This window comes from Homo sapiens, chromosome X (genome assembly GCF_000001405.40).
Source record: "Homo sapiens chromosome X, GRCh38.p14 Primary Assembly".
NCBI lineage: Eukaryota > Metazoa > Chordata > Mammalia > Primates > Hominidae > Homo > Homo sapiens.
The window spans coordinates 113,257,017-113,278,815 of record NC_000023.11 but is presented as its reverse complement, the minus strand read 5'-3'; the positions used below and the strand labels follow the sequence as shown (position 1 = coordinate 113,278,815).

The 21,799-nt window shown below is 38.2% G+C and overlaps 1 long non-coding RNA gene across 1 annotated transcript in view, besides 1 other annotated feature; it reads right to left on the bottom strand.

Annotated features, from left to right (window-relative positions):
* The window catches only part of LOC101928437 (uncharacterized), a 477,888-nt gene that overhangs the window by 241,799 nt on the left and 214,290 nt on the right, over window positions 1-21,799 (bottom strand). The gene's annotated exons all lie outside the window — the stretch shown is intronic.
* Window positions 3,906-5,105: an enhancer, noted in NCBI's record as "MED14-independent group 3 enhancer chrX:112516938-112518137 (GRCh37/hg19 assembly coordinates)". NCBI's record gives its function as "activates an origin of replication core promoter dependent on BRD2, BRD4, P300/CBP and CDK7 cofactors, and independent of MED14, by STARR-seq in HCT116 cells {active_cell/tissue: HCT116}" and the evidence as "EXISTENCE:reporter gene assay evidence [ECO:0000049][PMID:35650434]".

The following is a 21,799-nucleotide window of genomic DNA, read 5'->3' as shown; positions in this document are numbered from 1 at the left end:
CCTTCCCTCCCCTCCCCTTCCCTCTTCTTTCATTCCCTTTCCCTTTCCCTTTCCTTTCTTTTCTTTTCTTTTTCTCACTCTGTAGCCCAGGCTGGAGTGCAGTGGCAACATCTCAGCTCACTGCAACCTCCGCTTCCCAGTTTCAAGTGATTCTAGTGCCTCAAAGCCTCCTGAGTACCGGGATTACAGGTGCGCACCACCATGCCTGGCTAATTTTTGTCTTTTTAGTAAAGATGGGGTTTCGCCATGTTGGCCAGACCAGTCTTGAACTCCTGGCCTCAAGTGATCCACCCGCCTCGGCCTCTCAGAGTCCTGGGATTACAGGCATGAGCCGCCACACTCAGCCTATCTTTCTTGAACTCTCTTTTTCTATGTTGCTAGAATCCATTTCTTGTTTCTTGAATGCAGTTTAATAATTACTACCTCTCTAATGAAATCACAATCTTCCAAAGAGAGGAATCAGATGGCCTCCACGTTTTGTTACTCCTAACAACTAAGAATAATTACTGAGAAGTTTTTATGTACCAAGAACTCATGTAAACACTTCTTCATATTCATTAATTTATTACATCCTTACAATAATCCTATGAGGTGCTTTTATTATATTCACTCTACACGTGAAGAAACTGAGAAAGAGGGAGTTTATGTAACATGTCCCTGGTCATGGAACTAGCTAAATGTTAAGAGTTGGGATTCAAACTTAAGGAGTTTAACTCAAAAGCCTATATCCTTATCTTATTAATCATTATGATATACTGCTATTCAATAGCCCTTTTAAAACATTTTATGAAAATACTAAGGCTTGTTTTTTTTTTTTTCTGTTCCATGTGTCACTCTATTTCTTAGTTACTTGTCTGTTTTGATTTCTGCTTTTCATGTTGGAGCTTTTCCTCAAATGTTATTCCTTGATTATTCATTTTTAATTTAAGATTGAGACAAAAAATGTTTATCAATAGCTTTATGTGTTTGAGCAGGGCCTATCAAATGATGTACTTCACTGTACACTGATTTAATAAGTACATAGCTGTTTTATTGGGATCTCTAAATTGTTACTCTCTGTAGACCTTTATTATCAGCCTGGAAAATTTCTCTAAAGAGGAATCTTTCTAATTTCTGCATGAGAACTTTAAACTGGACTGCTGGTTTTCCCAGAGTTAAATTACAGAAAGGTCTGGGGATCTCATTGTGTAGTATGTTGATTCCCTCTTAATCCGTTTTCAGTATAGGACCACTACCCTCAGCTTTGTCTGGTTTCTCCAAGTCCAGGTCCTGCTACTTAAACTTCTTTGGAGAATAAATCTCTAGTGTTCTGCCCAGAAGTATGTGTGGGTGTGGATGAACATGGTCTGGGAGACGATTTGGCAGCTGTCCTTCTTAAATAGACCTTCAACATGACCCTGTTAACATTTGCCTTACAGAGCTATAAGGTACCTCAGTTTCTACCTCTTTCCTAAACTCTAAAGTACCTATTAGCTTTTTTTTTTTGACTTCTTAACTTTATGTCCCACCACAATCTTTGTCCTGCCCCCTCAAGCTTAGGTTTCACCTTTCTCCTTTCTGCCCCATGGCTTGCCATTTGTTTACCTGCTTTCCAACTTCCAAAATTGTGTTAGCATGTCGTCTGTTGTGCTGCTCTCTATTTCCCTGTGGATTTATGTCGTTTTATCCTATTAGTGGGTTTTAGAAGGGAGCAGAGATTAATGCATATTCACTCTACCATGTTTAACTAGAAGTTGGCATTGGCTTTCTTGATAGATCAAGGATAGACTGTAGACAAAATTATTTTATGCCTTGCTACCATTCTGAAATGAATTTGTCGATTATTGTGTGAGCTCAGCTGGTGCTAATAATAGCAAAGTTGTGAGTTAAAAATCTTTGTAAGGATCAATTATCTCTGCCGTGTTATTGGATCACAACTATACCTTAGCCTTCACCCCAAAGCTCAAAAGCATTTTCTAAGGTCTGTAGCAGAACCAGGTAAAGAACTACATATAGTCTTTTTTTTTTTCATCCAGTGGAATGAAAAGTTTTAGGAAATAATAGGAAACTAATACTAGGAATAATAAGAAAATTTACTCACAAATATTCTTTATAAGAAATAGTTATCATACCAATTACTAAGCAGGTAGCATGTGCTTAAACAACAGCCTGAGATTCCTCTTGTCTTATCATCATTCTCAAGAGCTCAATTTCCCTGAATATGTGGAGTCCTAGGAACAGTTTGAAAATACATCCAATCCTCCAAGTACTTAACAATTCCCCGCACCCCCCCTTCCACTTTTTTTTTTTTTTTTTTTGAGACGGAGTTTCTCTCTTGTTGCCCAGGATGGAGTATAATGGCGCGATCTCAGCTCACGGCAACCTCCGCCTTCCCGGTTCAAGCAATTCTCCTGCCTCAGCCTCCCCAGTAGCTGGAACTACAGGTGCACACCACCACACCTGGCTAATTTTTTGTATTTTTAGTAGAGACGGGGTTTCACCATGTTGACCAGGCTGGTCTTAAACTCCTGACCTCAGGTGATCTGTCTGCCTTGGCCTCCCAAAGTGCTGGAATTACAGGCGTGAGCCACCACACCCAGCCAGTTCCCTTTTTTTGAGTGTTTTTGGACCTGCGGCTAAATTCTCAGCAGATGGCAGCAATACAGAAATAGAGGTAGTGTTAGTGTGCTTATGGGCAAGACTGCATACTGCCTTATCGTCCTGCCATCTGAGTAAGAGAGTGATGTAAAAGCAATATAGGACTGAGTTGGAAGAAAACAGGGGCCCATTAAAGCTTTTGACTTAACACTGGAGATACAGTGCATCTGCTATACACACTGTTGTCAGTTGCTCTGCCCAGAAATAGAATCAACAGAGTCCTCTAGCTAGTGCTGATGTTACTGCAAGTGTTGATAGTATGCCCTTCAGCACTTCACACTTTCCTCAGAGCTTTTTGTCTACTTTGATTCACTGCTTCAGTAATTTTGACATAATTAAAAAGCAATAATATTTAACTCTTCTAAACTGAATGTACCTCAACAATACTTCCCTCAAATCACCTATTGTTTAATTAAAACACAATAAATGTCTCATCATATCTAATTAAAATGCTTTTTGAAAGCAGGTAATTTACATTGCAATTATTTCTCTGTAACAGTTTGACAAGAATCTGTGTAAGCGTGAAGTCTTTACTAACAGAAGAAGTGGGATATACAAATCAGTTTTCAAATCATTTTTATAGATGTCTTTAGAATTTCACTTTGATTGCCCCTAGCTCTTCTTGAAACTCTTGCAAAAGTCATTTTGGAACTCCAAATCCCCACATTTCATAGTACTGCCTTGGTCCTCCTGTTAACATTGCCCGCCACGTTTATTTTCAAGACTCTGTCTATCTTTGTCTTCTCGTGATTATCCACTCTTCTTGTTTTATTCCTACCAGTTGGATCACAGCTGCTCAATATGCCCACACTCTTACCACCGGATCGGTTTCTCCACACACCTCTTCCATTTAAATTTTCTTAACCTTGATTTTTCTTCTCTCATAGTTTAAGTTCAAGCCTATGCCATCTCACACTTAGATTATTGCATTAGACTCCTATCTTGCTTTCTGTCGTCAATCCCACCCTACATATCATCACAACTACCTTCTAAAGTATAAACTTTCTCATATCCTGTCTCTCCTCAGGAACCCTTAACAAGATCTTCACCATTTATGATATAAAATTGATATTTCTTATTATTCTATAGAGTAATCCCAGTAAACAGCCTCAGTTTTATCTAATACTGATCTCTGCCATCAACCTCAGCCACCCAACACAAGCAGCTGTTACCCAAACATACCACTCACTCTCCTAACTTTGTGGTTTTACTCAGAATCTCTTTTACCCATAATGCCTCACTGTTTCTTTTTGCTCACACATTTCTTTTAAAGATTTTATTCAAGTCATTCTACTACAGAAAGAGCTCCTGAAGTCAAAATTTATCTCCATCACCCTTTGTACACTCCCTTCGCATTTTGAAATATGTGAGTTAACAGAGAAAAATATAATAAGCCCTATATTTGATCAGGTGCTTGACTTTCTTTTTTAAAAAAATTTCAGTAGGTTATTGGGGAACAGGTGGTGTTTGGTTACATGAGTAAGTTCTTTAGTGGTGATTTGTGAGATTTTGGTGCACTCATCATGTCTGAGCTCAGACTTTTCTTGGGCGGGTCTTGCTGCAGCTACTGTGGGGTATGGGGGTGAGATTACCAGGTCACTGGAGTTTTGTGCCTAGGAGGATTATGGCTACTTCTGCTGAGTCATGCAGGTTGTCAGAGAAGTGGGGGAAATCCGGCAGTCACAGGCCACACCCACGCAAACCGAAGGGCTAGTCTCACTCCCATCATGTCCCCTGCAACAGCCCCAAGTCTGTTTCCAGGAGGAGGCTGAGAGGGGCTTGAAAACTTGCCCGAGGCTACCCACCTCCCAACTGCCAAAGAAAAGGGCCTTAGTTCTTCCCCAACCTGTGAAGTCTGCATGCCTGATTCCCGAGAGCATGTGTTAGGGAGAGTAGGGTCTCCCTTTCCCACTTCCGCAGTTGGGGCACTCACAGTATTTGGGGTGTCTCCTGGGTCCTACAGGAGCAGTCCGCTTCCTTCAGAGGGTCTGTGGGTCCTCTTGGGATGGCTGGTTTGTTCTTACAGTCGATCTGGAGCTCTCATGCTGTCACCGGGTCCCTGCAGCCAGCTTTGCCCCACACTCCCTCCAGGTTGCTTATAAAAGGTTTTATTATTGTCCCTTCTAACAGACAGAGGGAAACTGGGCCTAAAATAATTTGTATAATTGCCCAAAGTCATACAGTGTTTAGATCCAAGATTTAAATCTGGGTCTACCAGACTTGAGAAAATTCATAATCTTAACCACTATATACAGGAAAATATATGGTAAGTTCCTTCCTTTTTCCATTCACTTATTCATTTTCTTTCCTAGTGGATGAACAGAAAGTTGACAAAATACTACACATTTTTGTGTATATAGATACACAAAATGTATATTGATGATAGATGACAGATAGATAGATGTTAGACAATAGATAGCTATAAATCATGATAGAGATATCTACTTAACATGTTCTTAGTGATGAGAGCTGTTAGAGGACAAGACTATTCAAGAGAATTATTTCTTATTGCTTAACTTAATATTAACTTCCCCAACAACAGCAGAAGCAAAATCAAGTTAAGCAAACATGGAAGCCAGCTTTCAAATAGACAATATTTGTCAATAAGGCAGACCACCAGAGAGCCAATAAGATAATATGCTTGGGAGCCTGTGGTAAGAAAAAAATACAACAAAGCTGAAAGTGGTATTTTCATCTGTCAGGTCTGTTTGAGAGGGAAAATGTGGAATGAATAAATTTTAAAGCCACAGAAATCAAAAGGCAACTTAGAATACCATTGTCCTTTTACCGATGTGACTAATGCTTAACTTTTCAACCAGCATCTGCTATTACCTTTAAATGTTTGAATGAGATACCTCAAAAGCAATTATTAGACTCAAAATGTATATGATGCATTAGGAGTCACTGTTGCTTTTTTTTTTTTTTTTTTTTTGAGATGGAGTCTTGCTCTTTTGCCCAGGCCAGAGTGTAGTGGCACGATCTTGGCTCACTGCAAGCTCCGCCTCCCGGGTTCATGCCATTCTCCTGCCTCAGCCTCCCGAGTAGCTGGGACTACAGGCGCCTGCCACCGCGCCCGGCTAATTTTTTGCATTTTTAGTAGAGACGGGGTTTCACGGTGTTAACGAGGATGGTCTCGATCTCCTGACCTCATGATCCGCCCTCCTCGGCCTCCCAAAGTGCTGCGATTACAGGCGTGAGCCACCGCGCCCGGCCACTGTTGCTTTTTATTTGCCAAGAAAACATCAAATATATATATACACACACACACACACACAATACACAGAAAATCCATGACATCACTCATTGCTGAAATTCTTTCATATAAAGGCCTCAGTTTGATCCTGGAAAGTTTATAACTACCTATTTTCACATGTCCTTTTTGCCTTTTAATTCTACATCAGTAGCTATTCCTTTACTGGTGATACATGATGGTAGTAGCACTGGCTGTTTCAGATTCACAGAGGAGAAAATAAAGAGATTCTATAACCTTGTGGACGTAAAAAAGATCTAAAATACCTCTCTCTCATCCTTTACTGGTGACAAAACACTTAAAATCTTGTAAATTATTAATGTCGACTAAAATCAGGTATGTTCATTTTTATCACTTTTTCTAAGTGTGATTTGTGGAGAATCAACTCAAATGCTTTGTGAATAGACCATATCTTATACTTAAGAAATCAGATAGCCTAGAGGTGAGGCCACAGAGTCTGCAATTCGCAAATCTCCCCCATATCAATTTTGTGCGCTAAAGTCTGAGAATCACTACATGAGACCCCCCATGTGATGTAGAAAACTCATAGTTTCTCTCTACCCCCACTTTGGAAAGGAATGTGTTTAATAGTAAAGTTAAAACTTGCTGAGTGCTTCCTATTGCACTAATACGTCTTACGGCACTAATAATTCCTGGTGGCACTATTTTATGAGTTCAATATGTATTACTGTATTTAATTTTCAAAACCACCCTATTAAGTAAGAACTAATATTGCCTTCATTTTACAGAGAGGAATCTGGAGGGCATTTCAAGAGACATCACTACCACCGGAAAATTTTCCGGTGGCCTTTGATCCGAGCATGAGGAAGTGAGATTAGGCCAGAAGATGAGAACAAAGGGCAGATGTTTTTAGATGAAAGATACCAGAACCTTGGGGAAAGAAAAGTTGAACATCTACTACATACCATTCACTACACTGAGGCACTAGCCTCATCTTCTTTAATCATCACACTGACCTTTTGATGTCTCATTTTTATTTCTGTTTTACAGATGAGAAAACCAAAAGCCAGAAAATTAACCAACTGGCCCAAAGTCATACAGACAGATGGCAACAAAACTGGGATTTAAAGTTGTCTGTCTCATTTCAAATCATATAATTTTTTTATTATGCTATTTCGCTCTCAGGGGAAGTTCAAAGGTGTTGTGCACCAACTGTTGCTAATTCCTAGTCTCATTAGGAGCATTATAAATAAATACTGTAATTTTAGATAGTAACAAATTCTGTGAAGAAAATGAAACAGAATGCTGCCATAAAGAGCTATTGCAGGAGAGAGATGAAAGACATCAAATAAGGCCAACTTCACTGAGGAAGTAACATTTGAGCTAAAACAAGCAAAAGAATTCAGATAAATAAAGATCTAGGGGAACACAAAAGAAAATATTTTGAGGAAGGGCAGGCTCGCTCTGTTTCAGGACCAGCAAAAAGATCACTCTCTGGGGACTAAATGAATATGGAAGGGATTGATAAAGATGAAGACACATCTAACAGTGACCTGTAAACCAGGAGACAGTGATTAGATTTTATACTGTAATGAAAACCATTAGAAGACTTTAAGCAAAGAAATGTAATAATTTAATTCACACTAAAAAGTGAAAACTAGTTTACATTTTGTGTGAGGAACAGGCTGTAAGAGGACAACAGTGAAAGCAAATAAAGCAGTAAGAAGAAAATACAGATGAGAGGTTATTGAGGCCTAGAAGTAGGATAGATAGTTGTGGAATTGGTAAGACATAGTTGTATTTGAAAAGCATTTTCAAAATAGAGCTGATAAGAGTTGCTCATGGATTAGATATAAGGAATAAGCTAGAAAGAGAAATCAAGATTTTTTTAATAGAGTAAGAATATTAAATTGAGTAAATAAATTAACTTGAGAAAATTTAATTCCAATCAGTTTCATGGGGAAGATTGAGAAAGAGATGGCAATTTTGCAGGAGGTGGGAAAGGGAATGAGGAGGTGGAATTATATTTGGACATGTTAAGTTTCAGATGCTTATTCAACATTCTAATGAAGACGCCAAGCAGGCAGTTGCATATAGGAGTTTGGAGTTCAGACTTTTTCAACACCCTTAAAAGTATGTTCACCTATTCTTCTCATGTACCTTCAAGCCAATGGACCAGATAAAAGGTTGCAAGAAATTGTTAGCTTAACACCCTTTTCGTTACCCCCGTACCATTAGAGAAATAGGGTGCCTCATATAGCACTATGAAAAGCTTTTACAAAACTGTAGTTCATGTCTCCACCCAGATAATGCCCATAAAGTAAAAGCATGGCTTTCGACACCAATAATTTCCTATACCCGTATAGGCCAGTCCAGAGCCAGTAATTTTTTTAAAAAAGCCTAGTATATCTATCTATTGCCAACAGGTAGCCCCTTAATGTAACAGACTTTTAGATGTATATGTAACAGATATAGATGGCTTTCACCCTTTAGTATGCTATTGTGAAGAGAAAGCTAGTTTAGACATCAGAAGTGAATCTGAATCCTGTGTTCCTTCAATATATCTGACATTGGGTAGCTACTTTGGGTCTTATTTGACTAATCTATAAAACAGAGACATTAATCGTACCTATCTTATAGGATTACTATTAGTATTGAATCACATAATCCATGGAAACCCTTAACACGATGCTCAAATAAATGTTTATTCTTTTTTATTCTTGGCATTATTATTTGGTCAAACCAGATAAAATTACAAATATTTGAATTTTTAAAGTAACGAAACAGCAATTATATTTAGTATAACAACAACAAAAGTGTAAGTCTAGTTCATTTAGCAATACCAGAAACAAATTAGTGGTTCTATTCTACTACTCAAACCACATAAAGATCAGACCTCTCCCCAAACTAGGGTTATGCTTTGGGGGTACTGGTAATAAAATAAGATACTATCCCTTTTACAGTTAAATCTATAATTCAGCCAAGAGGAATGAAACTCATTAATTTCCAAGTCACCAAAAGCCCTTTTCTGGGGAGAGTGGGCTAAAATGTTGATTGAGAACAGGAGAGAAAAAGGAAAACAGCATACTGGAAGCCCAGAAATCCAACATTAGATAGGGTCAGTGCCTCCCAGTAATATAAATACCAGGTCAACTATCCAGTCACTTTCTTCTCTCCTTCTGAGAGACCTGACCACTTCCTTTCAAGGATCAGTATATGGTGACTCCAAACTGAGGCATCTGAACAACAAACAAATAAAACTTTAGAACGGCTTTAGATTTACAGAACAATTGTAAATATATTATAGATAATTCCTGTGTATCCCACACCTAGTTTCCCTTATTAGCATCTTACATTAGTATGGTACATTTGTTACAATTAAGGAAACAATGCTGACAAATTATTATTAACTAAAGTCCATATTTTATTTGGATTTTCTTGGTTTCTATCCCATGTCCTTTTTCTGTTTCAGAATCCCATCCATGCTAAGGTATTACATTTAGTCATCATAACTCTGTGGGCTCCTCTGGTTGTAATGGTTTCTCAAATTTTGCTTGTTTTGATGACCTAGACAGTTTTGAGAATTGCCAGTTGGATATTTTGTAGAATCCTCCTTAATTGGAAGACATATGATAATTTTTAAATAATTAGTCTGGAATTATGGGAATGGGAAGAAGAACACAGAGGTAAAGTGCCTTTTTTTATCACATCATATCAAGGGTACATGATATAAACATCACTATCACTGTTGATGTTGACCTGGCCAAGGTAGCAATTGTCAGGTTTCTTTACTGTACAGCTATTCTTTTTCCCTCTTTCCATACTGTACTCTTTGGAAAGAAATGAGTATTTTCATGTCCCACTTAAGGAGCATAGAGTTATGCTCCTCCTCAGTGAGGAAGTAGTATCAACATAAATTATTTCTAATTTTTCTGCACAAAAATTTGATTCTTCTTCTTCACTTATTTATCCAGTCATATCCTTATGGTAACATGGACTCACGAATATTTATTTTTTACTTTGGGTTATAATACATTGCTAATTTATTTATTTTATTACTCAAATTATTCCAGCTTTTGCCATTTAGCGCACTTTCAATTCCTGTGTCCCTTTGACATACCATCCACTATTGTGGGGTTTGTTTCATTTTTTGAGCACTTCCTTACTTTCTGGTATGACAAGATGCTTGAGGCTCACTTTCCTTTTTCCATGCTTCAGTCCTATGTATTTATCTAACTGATGTGAAAAGTTAGGTCGACACAAAATCTGCCTGCAAATGTTTATAGCACTGTAATTGCTAATTAACAAAAATTGAAAGCAGCCAAGATGTCCTTCAGTAGATCAAAGGATAAACACATTGTGGTATGTTGATAGAATGAACTATTATTCAGCAATAAAAGAAATAAAATATTAAGTCATGAAATGGCACGACTAAATCTTAAATGCATATTACTAAGTGAAAGAAGTCAGTCTGAAAAGGCTATATACTTTATGATCACAATGGCATGACATTCTAAAACAAGAAAAACTATAGTGATGGTAAAAAAAAAAAAGTCAGGGGTTGCCAGTGGTTCAGGAAGAGAAAGGACGAATGAAATAGATGAAGCACTGGTTTTGTTTTGATGATGATGAAGCTATTCTGTACGGAAATGTAATGGTGAATACATGACAGTATGCATTTATCAAAGCCCATAGGCTTATATAAAACAAGGAGTAAAACATAAGGTATCTAAATTTTAAAACATTATCTAGGAGAAAAGGAATTCTGGCATGGAATGAAGAATGTGACAAATCAATCTAACTGTATTATAAGTGCGTGAAACAATCTCACTAAAGGGAGTAAAGGACAAAGGTGTTGACCTAAAATCTTTGGAAGAAAATAGAGACTATAAGATTAAAAGCAAAAGAAAGTGTTCATAAGCAATAAGCTTTAGTTGATAGAGATTTTTCCCTCATGGAGGCATAGGTTAACTATATCAATACTACTATACACATGTACTAGAATTGAAAAATTAAGTAAATGGATGGCCGGTGGTTGGAATCATGTTTCTCACTGTTAGGGTGGGAGTTTACAATAAACAAGGGTAGGAGGCTTTATAGTAGGAGATATCAACACGAACATGTGTTTAGCTTAATATAGGTACAGATAGTTACAAATAGAAATACTTGTAAATATGTGTATACACAGGGATTAACATATACACTTGCATTTCTTATCAGCTGAGATGACCTAGAAGCAATAGCACCCCAGTAGCAATAATTACACCTATTGCCCACATATATGTTTCTAGTACTATACTTAAAAACAAACAGGAGTCCTTGAAGAAACGGCCGATGTTAGGCATTTTTAAACCTTACATACACAGAATCAGATTAATCACAATCCTTGCTTCATGTCTAATGAATTTTTGGCTCCTTGGCCCATAGATAATCCTCTTTTTACTAATTTTGACTGTGTTCCATAGGAATAGTGTGTCCTTTGGCAAAGAACAACCTCTCCTAATTTCAGTTTTTTAATCAGTAAAAAAGGAACACTAAAAACACTTAACTTATAAGTTTTTGTACAAATTAAATACCATGTTGCATGTACAATATTTGGAAAAAGAACTTGGCATATAGTAAGCATGCAGAAATTTTAAGTCTTTCTTAAGTTTTCCAAGTTGGACATAAAGGGAAATTTGGAAGCATATAGATATCTGAGTGAAGTTAATCAATTTTTAGAGGGCAAATGTTTTCAGTGTCTTTGATCCTTCTGAACACTATGACACCCACATTAGCCTGGAGTGAGCGGCAGAACTAGGCTTTGAATGGTTGCAGTAATGAGGTGGACAATAAATTTGGCCTTGGGAAGCCTGACTAAAGAGAATTTAACTTCACTATGTTTTTCTTTTTCTCTTCAGCTACGTTGGAAGCTACTGAGGAAGCATAAAGAGATATGTGTTGTAGGAGATACACAGTAGTGAAAGGGCTATAAGAGACATGTGGAGAAAAAAGCTTGATGGTAGGAGGTAATGAGAAGAGTAGAGTAAATAGCAGAGAGGGAACAGCTTAGTTACCTGTTCTAATTTAAAAGATATAGGTAAGTCTGACATGGCCTAACAGAGGAGTTTTAGTAATCAGAGGAAACCAGTTGATAATGGTTTGAAATGTTTACTTTTCATGGGATGGCTTTGGCAAAATGAAGAAACACATTTAATCTGAACTAAAGATTGTATAATAACCCTTTCTCAGAGATACTTTTTTGAAAAAAATTCCATGGTGGTCTCAATAGAATACTGTAATCATGATATATAAAGCACTTTTAATTTCAGTGTAGAATTTAAAAGACAAAGCATACAGTGTTTCTCCAATGTTTTCTTCTAGTATGTTCACATCTCAGGTCTTAGATTTTAAGTCTTTGGTTCATTTTGATTTGATTTTTGTATATGGTGAGAGATAGGGGTCTAGTTTCATTCTTCTGCATATGGATATCCACTTTTCCCTACATCATTTACTGAAGAGACTGTCTCTTCCACTGTGTATGTTCTTGATGCCTTTGTGAAAAATCAGTTCATCGTAGATATATCAATTTATTTCTGGGTACTCTATACTGTTCCATTGGTCTAGCATCTATTTTTCTGCCAGCATCATGCAATTTTGCTTATAACTTTGTAGTATTATTTGAAGTCAGGTAATGTGATTCCTCCAGATGTGTTCTTTTTGCTCAGGATAGCTTTGGTTCCATGTAAATTTTAGTAATTTTTTTATATTTCTGTGAAGAATATCACTGATATTTTGACAGGGATTGGACTGGATCTGTATATTGCTTTGGGTAGTATGAACATGTTAACAATATTGATTTTTCCACTGGTCTAACCAAATGTTTCTGGAGTAGGACAACAAAAGCACAGGCAACCAAAGCAAAAATGAGCAAATGGGATCACATCGAGATAAAAACCTGCACAGCAAAGGAAACAATCAACAAAATGAAGAGACAACTCATAGGACGGGAGAAAATGTTGGTGAACTACTTATCTGACAAAAAATTAATAACTAGAATTTATAAGGAGCTCAAACAACTCAATAGCTAAAAAACCACACAAAATCCAGTTAAGAAATGAAGACCTAAATAGACATTTCTCAAAAGAAGAAATACAAATGACAAACAGATATATAAAAGAAAATGCTCAACATCACTAATCATCAAGATCTGCAAGTAAAAACCACTATGAGACATCATCTCATCCCAGTTTGCGTGGCTATTATCAGAAAGACAAAAATAACAAAAACAAATGCTGGAAAGGGTGTAGAGAAAAGAAAACACTTGTACAATGTTAGTGGGAATGCATATTAGTACAACCTCTGTGGAAAACAGTATGGAGATTTATCAGAGTACTAAAAATAGAACTACCATAGCGATCTTACTGCTGCTTGGTTTTAACATCTACTACTGTACCCAAAAGAAAGGAAATCAGTATAACGAAGATACATCTGTGCTCCCTGTTTATTGCAGCACTATATACAATAACCAAGATTTCGAATCCATCTAAGTGTCCATCAACAGATTCATGGGTAAAAAAAAATGTGGTACATATACACATGGAATATTATTCACAATGGAATATAATTCAGAAAGTATTCATATTAAAAATAATGAGATCTTGTCATTTGCAACAATGTGAATCAAACTGGACAACATTATGTAAAGTGAAATAAGCCAGGGTCAGAAAGACAAATACCACACGTTCTCACTTACATGAAGGATCTAAAAAAATTGAATTCATAAAAATAGGAGCATAGAATGATGATTATCAGAGGCTGGAAAAGGTAGTGGATGGGGGGATAAAGTAGGGATGGTTAATGGGTACAAAAATACAGTTTGATAGAATAAATAGGATCTAATATTTGGTAGTACAATAAGGTAACCATAATTACCAATAATTTATTGTATATTTTAAAATAACTAAAAAAGTGAAATTGGAATGCTCCTAACATTAAGAAATATAAAATGCTTGAGATGATGGATACTTCAGTTACCCTGATTTGATCATTATACATTGTATACCTTTATCAAAACAACACACGTACACTAGAAATATGTATAACTTTTATGTAGCCATAATCATTAAAATAAAAATAATTTTAAAGACAAAACATGAAAAATAATTATAACTATAAAACTATGTTAATGGATATGCAATATATAAAGATGTAATCAGTGACGTCAATAACATAAAGTGGGAATGGAGAGATATTTAAAAAGTAGAGTTTTGTATGTTATTAAAGTTATCAGCTTTGAATAGATTGTTGTAACTATGAGATCTATATGTAAGCCCCATGGTAACCACACACAAAAAAATATACACAGAAGAAAATGAGAAAAGAATCAAAGCATGTCAAAACAAAAATATCACCAAAACACAAAGGAAGGCAGCAAGAGAAAAAAAAAAAAGAGTGACAAACTTGTTACAAGACAGAGACAAAACAGTTAACCAAGTGGCAATAGTAACTCCTGCTCTATCAGTGATTACTGTAAATATAAATGAATAAGTTATCAATCAAAAGAAGTGGAGTGGCTGAATTAAAGAAAAATACGAACAAGATGTAACTATATGCTGTCCGCAACAGAATCACCTTAGATGTAAAGACAGACATAAGGTGAAAGTGAAAGGATGGGAAAATATATTCCATAAAAATGATAACCAAAAGAAAGCAAGGGTGACCACATTTATATCAGACAAAATAGACTTGAAGTCAAAAATTATCACAAGAGATAAAGGACATTATATAATGATAAAGTGCCTACTCACCAGGAAAATATAACAAATATATATACATATACATATATATATGCATCTAAAACAAGACCACCCAAGTACTTGAAGAAAACATTGGCAGAATTGAAGGAAGAAATGAACAGTGAAACAGTAATAGGAGACTTTAATACATCACTTTCAAAAATGGATAGAAAAGTGGATAGAAGATCAATAAGGAAACATAGGACTCGAACAACTCTATAGACCAATGGTACCTAGCAGACATATACAGAACTCTCTTTCCAGCAGGAGCAGAATATACATTCTTCTCAAGTGCACACAGAACATTCTCTAGGGAAGATCACACATTAGGTTACAAATGAAGTCTTAACAAATTGTAAAAGATCGAAATCCTACCAAGTATCTTTTCTGACCACAAGAGAATTAAACTAGAAATCAACAGCCATTGAAAAACTGGAAACTCACAAATATGTGGAAATTAAACAACATACTATTGTATAACCAATGGGTCAAAGAAGAAATTACAAGAGAAATTAGAAAATATCTTGAGACACACAAAACCAAAAACATAACATACTAAAACTTACGGGATATGGGGAAGAGGCAGAAAAACATGTTTTAATAGAAACCACCAGTGATCTTCCTCCCCGTAGGAACACCAAATTGAACAACTATCTGCACAAGAAAGTGCCTTTAAAAGAACCAAAAATCAAGTGAGTAATTACAATACTTGGTTTTAACATCACATCAAGGAAAGAGACACTAAACAAGGGAGGAAAGATAGTCTGAATTGCCTGTACCACCCCTTCCCCATCCCCCAGCAGCTGCCAGGTGGTGCAGAGAGAAAATCTGTGTGCTTGAGGGAAGAAAAGCACAGTGATTGTGGAACTCTGCATTGCAACTCTGTGTTGTCCTGTCATAGCAGAAAGCAACACTGGGCAGAATTCAACCGGCACCTACGGCGGAACATTTCAACTTGCCCTAGCCAGAGGGGAATTGTCCATTACAGCAGGCAGAACCTGAGGTCTGGCTAGTCCCACCACCACAGGCTAAAGTGCTTTGGGGTCCAAAAATAACTCAAAAGGTAGTCTAGGACGCAAGGAGTGCAGTTCCTAGGGAGGTCCTGGTGCTGTGCTGGACTTGTAGCCAGCAGACTTGGTGTGTATGTGACATAGTGAGGTACCAGTGGGAGTGGCCACGGGAGTGCTTGCATCACCCGTCCCCCAAACCCAGGCAGCCCAGCTCACAGCTCCAGGACAGACTCCTTCTTTATGCTTGAGGAGGGGAGAAACAAGAGTAAAGAGGACTTTGTTGGCCGGGCACCGCGGCTCACGCCTGTAATCCCAGCACTTTGGGAGGCTGAGGCGGGTGAATCACTTGAGGTCAAGAGTTCAAGACCAGCGTGGCCAACATGGTGAAAACTTGTCTCTACTAAAAATACAAAAGTTAGCTGGGCATGGTGGTGCACACCTGTAGTCCCAGCTACTCAGGAGGCAGAGGCAGGAGAATCACTTGAACCCGAGAGGTGGAGGTTGCAGTGAGCTGAGATCAAGCCACTGCACTCCAGTCTGGGCGGCAGAGTGAGAATCCATCTCAACAACAACAAAAACAACAAAGAGGAATTTGTCTTGCAACTTGGATATGAACTCAGTCACAGTAAAACAGAGCACCATGCAGAGTCCTGATGCCCTAGCCCTCAGACAACATTTCTAGACACGGGAATCCACTGCCTTGAAGGAAAGGACCCAGTCCTGGCAGAATTCAACAAGTGCTGACTAAAGAATGTTTGGACACTGAGTAAACATCAAGAAAACTGTCAAGATGACCGACTAGAAGCAGCTAGTGTATGCCACTCTTACAGAGAGGAGAAAAATTGGTGAATAAATACTACATCTTCAACTGAAACATCATGCAGGGATTCATCAAGGAAAAAACGTGGCCCATGGAGAACAGAGAGGAGCAACACAGGACAACCACCCACCCGGGAGTCACATGAAGCCAGGAGAGGCTTCCTCACCACAGGGAAACTGAGTGAGTGAGAGACCTTGGGGATCCACACTTTTTCTATGGATCTTTGCAATCTTGGGCTCAGGAGATCCCCTTGTGGGACTTTCAGACTGATGTGGAGAGCTACATGTAGTCTGAGAAGAGCCACCACTCAAGCACACACAGAGCCCCAGGAGCCTTGGATCCCTGGGCATCCTAGCATTAGTGGCTGCAGCTCTGGCAAAGAGAGTGGTTATGCTCCCTCACATGTCCCCAGGAAAGGAACCAAATCCAGGAGGCTGAGCATGGTACAGAACCCCAGCACAGTGCAGCCATCCCACAGAAAAGCTGCCAGACTGTTTTTTAAATCGGTCCCCATTTACATTTTTTCCTCACTGAGTGACGCCTCCTGACTCCAGCACAACTACCCTGCCCCAACCTGAACACTTCAGTCAGAGGCAGCACTGCATTTATCTGAGGAAATCCCAGAGTCAACCCACAACCCCTTCTCCATTGCAACTACAGTGGTACTGCCCTAACTGCCCACAGAATAGGGAAGGAGCAAAGGACCTACCCGCTATGCTGGCACCTCCAGGACATGGCAGCCACTATATGGAAAAGAGTCCAGTCTCTCTTCCCTGGGAGTTCCCAACCCCCACTCTTCACCAGGGAGGGCCCCTAGCTCAGGACTGCAGATCAGCCACCCCACCAATGGCTGAGCATATCCACTGGTAGTGTCTCTGAATTTCCCTGGGGAGGGGCTCCCAGAGGGAACCAACAGCCCTTCTGCCACTGCCACAGCAGTGGTTCTACCCCTGCTGCCCTGGTCTGGGGAAGAAACAAAGATCTTGAGGGCTTCACCTAGGCTTATAGCACACCACAGCCACCATACAGAAGTGAACCAGTCTCTCTTCACTGTGAATCTTTGAAACCCCACTCCCCAACTAGGGGAGTCCCCAGCTCAGGCCACCAGTACAGCTGTCCCGCCCACTGGCTGAACATTCCCAGTAGGAGTGGCTCCATGTTTCTCAAAGGTGGAGCTCCCAGAGGCAACCAAAAGCCCCTCTGCCACTGCCACTGCAATGGTACTACCCTTGCTGATCTCAGACTGGAGAATGAGCAAAAACCATGAGTGCTCTACCCACACCTCCAACAAGCTGTAGTCATCCTAAGGAGAGCAGGCCAGTCCATCTCCCCAGTGTCCCACTCACCCTGCACCCCATTTGTCACCAGGCAGGGCCCCTCTGTCTTGGGCCCAGAGCACAGCTGCCCCATCCTGGGCTGATCACGCTGATTAATAGTAGCTCTGTATATCTCTAGGGTGGAACCCCAAGAAACAACTGAAAGACTCTCTGCCACAACCACTGCTAAGGTCTCGTCCTCTACTGCCTCCAAACTGGGAAGAAACATAAAGCCTGAGATTGCCCGGGAGTGCCAAGCCAAGATCTGCAACCAGCACTGGAGTGAAAGAGGAGCCAACATTTTCAGAGCACTCAGAGGTAGCATAGCTGCAATTGTGAGGAAATACAGAGGAGCCACATGACTGAGCAAGAGACCACCTACTGGACATTACCCGTAAGTGCCACCTACTGGATCATCAAAACTTCAACACCAAAAATATTTTTGCTAATATGTCCCACTGAAAAACCAAGGACAAGAATTCAACTACATATAAAGACCCTGCACAAAGCCTTGGTCCTGTGAAAACATCCAGAAAATAAGTCTACTGTCTACACTCAATTTACACTGCAGTTAAAGAAACAGAAATCAACAGATAAGAAAGAACCAGTGCAAGAATGCTGGCAACAAAAAAGGCCAGAGTATCTTCTTTCACTGAAATGAATGCAGCAGTTGCCCAGCAAGGGTTCTTAACCAGGCTAAAATAAGTGAAATGATAAACATAAAATACAGAATATGAATAGGAATGATGATCATAGAGATTCAGGAGAACATCAAATCCAATCCAAGGAATCTAAGAACCACAATAAAATAATACCAGAGCTGATAGATGAAATCTCCAAAATAAAACAGAACTAAACTGATCTGATAGAGCTGAAAAACACACTATAAGAATTTCATAAAGCAACCACAAGTATTAATAGCAGACTAGACCAAACTGAGAAAAGAATATCAGAGCTCAAAGGCTGGTTCTCTGAAATAAAAGTCAGACAAAAACCAAGAAAAAAGAACAAACAAAACTTAAGTACGTAGACCATTGACACTATAAAGCAACCACAGAAACAAGTCTGCATAATTACCAGCTAAGAACATAATGACAAGATCAAATCCACGCATATCAATATTAACCTCGAATGTAAATGGGCTAATTGCCCCAACTACAAGGCACAGAGTGACAAGCTGGATAAAGAAGCGAGACCCAGTGGTATGCCATTTTCATGATACCCACCCATCTCACATGCAATGGCATCTATAGGTTCAAAATAAATGGATGGAGAAAAATCTATCAAGCAAACAGAAAACAGAGAAAAGCAGGGGTTGCAATCCTAATTTCAGACAAAACATATTTTCAACCAACAAAGATCAGAAAAGACAAAGAAGGGCATTATATAGTGGTAAAGGGTTTGATTCAGCAAGAAGATCTAGCTATCCTAAATACATGTGCACCCAAGAAAGGAGTACCAAGGTTCGTTAAAGCAACTTCTTAGAGACCTATGAAGACACTTAGATTTTCACACAATAATAGTGGGAGACTTCAAAATCCCACTGACAATATTAGACAGATCATCAGGGCAGAAAACTAAACAAATATATTCAGGACCTGAACCTGAACTCAATACTTCACCAAATAGACATAATAGACATCTATAGAACTCTCTACACAAAAACACAGAATATGCATTCTTCTCATCTGCATGTGGTACATACTCTAAAATCAACCACATAATTGGACATAAAATAATCCTTAGAAAATGCAAAAAAAAAAAAAAAAAAACTGAAATCATACCAACCACGCTCTTGGACCACAGCATAACAATAATAGAAGTTAATAGTAAGAAAATCACTCAGAACCATACAATTACATGGAAATCAAATAATCTGCTTCTGAATGACTTTTGAGTAAATAATGAAATTAAAGCAGAAATCAAGTAATTCTTTGAAAGTAAAGAGAATGAAGATACAACATTCCAGAATTTTATGGACAGAGTTTAGGCAGTGTTAAGAGGGAAATTTACAGTACTAAACCCATATGCAAAAATTCAGAAAGATCTCAAATTAATAACCCAACATCACAGCTAGAAGAACTACAGAAGCAAGGACAAACTAACCCCAAATCTAGTAGAAGACAAAAAACAACCAAAATCAGAGCTAAACTGAAGGAGCTTGAGATAATAAAAACCATGCAAAAGATAAATAAATCCAGGATATTTCTGTTTGAAAAAAATTAATAAGATAGACCACTAACTAGACTAATAAAAAAGAAAGATGATCCAAATAAACACATTCAGAAATGACAAAGAGGACATCACCAATGACCCCACAGAAATACGAAACACCATCAGAGACTACTATGAACACTGCTATGCACACAAACTAGAAAATCTAGAAGAAATGGATGAATTGCTAAACACACACAACCTCCCATAACTGAAACAGAAAGAAATTGAATCCCTGAATAGAGCAATAATGAGCTGCAAAAATGAATCAATAATAAAATGCATATTAACCCAAAAGAGCCCCCGACCAAATACATTCACAGCTGAATTCTACCAAATGAATGAAGAAGAGCTAGTACATTTCCTACTGAAACTATTCCAAAAAACTGAGAAAGAGGGAATTCTTCCCAACTCATTCTATGAGGCCAGCATTATCCCAATACCAAAACCTGACAGAGACACAACAAAGAAAGAAAATTTCAGGCCAATATTATTGATGAACATTGATGTAAAAATTCTCAGCAAAACACTAGCAAACCAAATCCAGAAGCAGATCAAAAAGCTAATTTGCCCTGATCAAGTAGGCTTATCCCTGGGATGCAGGTTTGGTTCAAGATATGCAGATCAATAAATGTGATTCAGCATGTAAGGAATCCTAAAGACAAAAGCCATATGATTATCTCAATAGATGCAGAAAAGACTTTTGATAAAATTCAACATTGTTTCATGCCAAAAACCCTCAATAAACTAGGCATTGAAGGAACATACCTCAAAATAATAAGAGCTACCTATGACAAACCCACAGCCAAAATCATATTGAATGAGCAAAAGCTGGAAGTATTCCAATTGAAAAATCGTACAAGATAAGGATACCCTCTTTCACCACTCCTATTCAGCATACTGTGGAATGTCCTGGCCAGAGCAATTAGGAAACAAAAAGAAATAAAAAGCATCCAAACAGGAAGAGAAGAAGTCAAACTATCTCTGTATGTAGATGACATGATTCTATAACTAGAAAACCCCATCATCTCTGCCCAAAAGCTCCTTGAACTGATAAACAACTTGAGTAAAATTTCAGGGAATAAAATTAATGTATAAAAAGTAGCATTCCTATGTACCAGCAACATCCAAGATGAAATCAAAATCAGGAATGCAACCCCATTTATAATTGCCACAAAAAGAATAAAATACCTTGGAATACAGCTAACCAGGGAGGTGAGAGATCTCTACAGTGAGAATTACAAAACACTGCTCGAAGAAATCAGAAATGACACAACCAATGGAAGAACATTCTAGGTTCATGAGTAGGAAGAATCAATATTGTTAAAATGGCCATAATGGCCAAAGCAACTTACAGAATTAATATTATTCCTGTCAAACCACCAATGACATTCTTCACAGACTTGAAAAAACTATTCTAAAATTCATATGAATAAACAACAACAAAAAAACAGCCCAAATGGCCAAGGCAATCCTAAGCAACAAGAACAGCACTGTAGGCATCACATTATCTGTCTTCAAACTATACTACAGGCTAGAGTAACCAAAACAGCATGGTACTGGTACAAAAACAGAACACATAGAATAATGGAACAGAATGGGGATTTGAGAAATAAAGTCGCACACCTACAACCATCTGATCTTTGACAAAGCTGACAAAAACAAGCAATGGGAAAAGGACGCCCTCTTTAATAAATGGTGCTGGGATACCTGGGATATGCAGAAGACTGAAATGGAACCCCTTCCTTACACCATATACAAAAAACAACTCAAGATGGATTAAGGACTTAAATATAAAACCCAAAACTATAAAA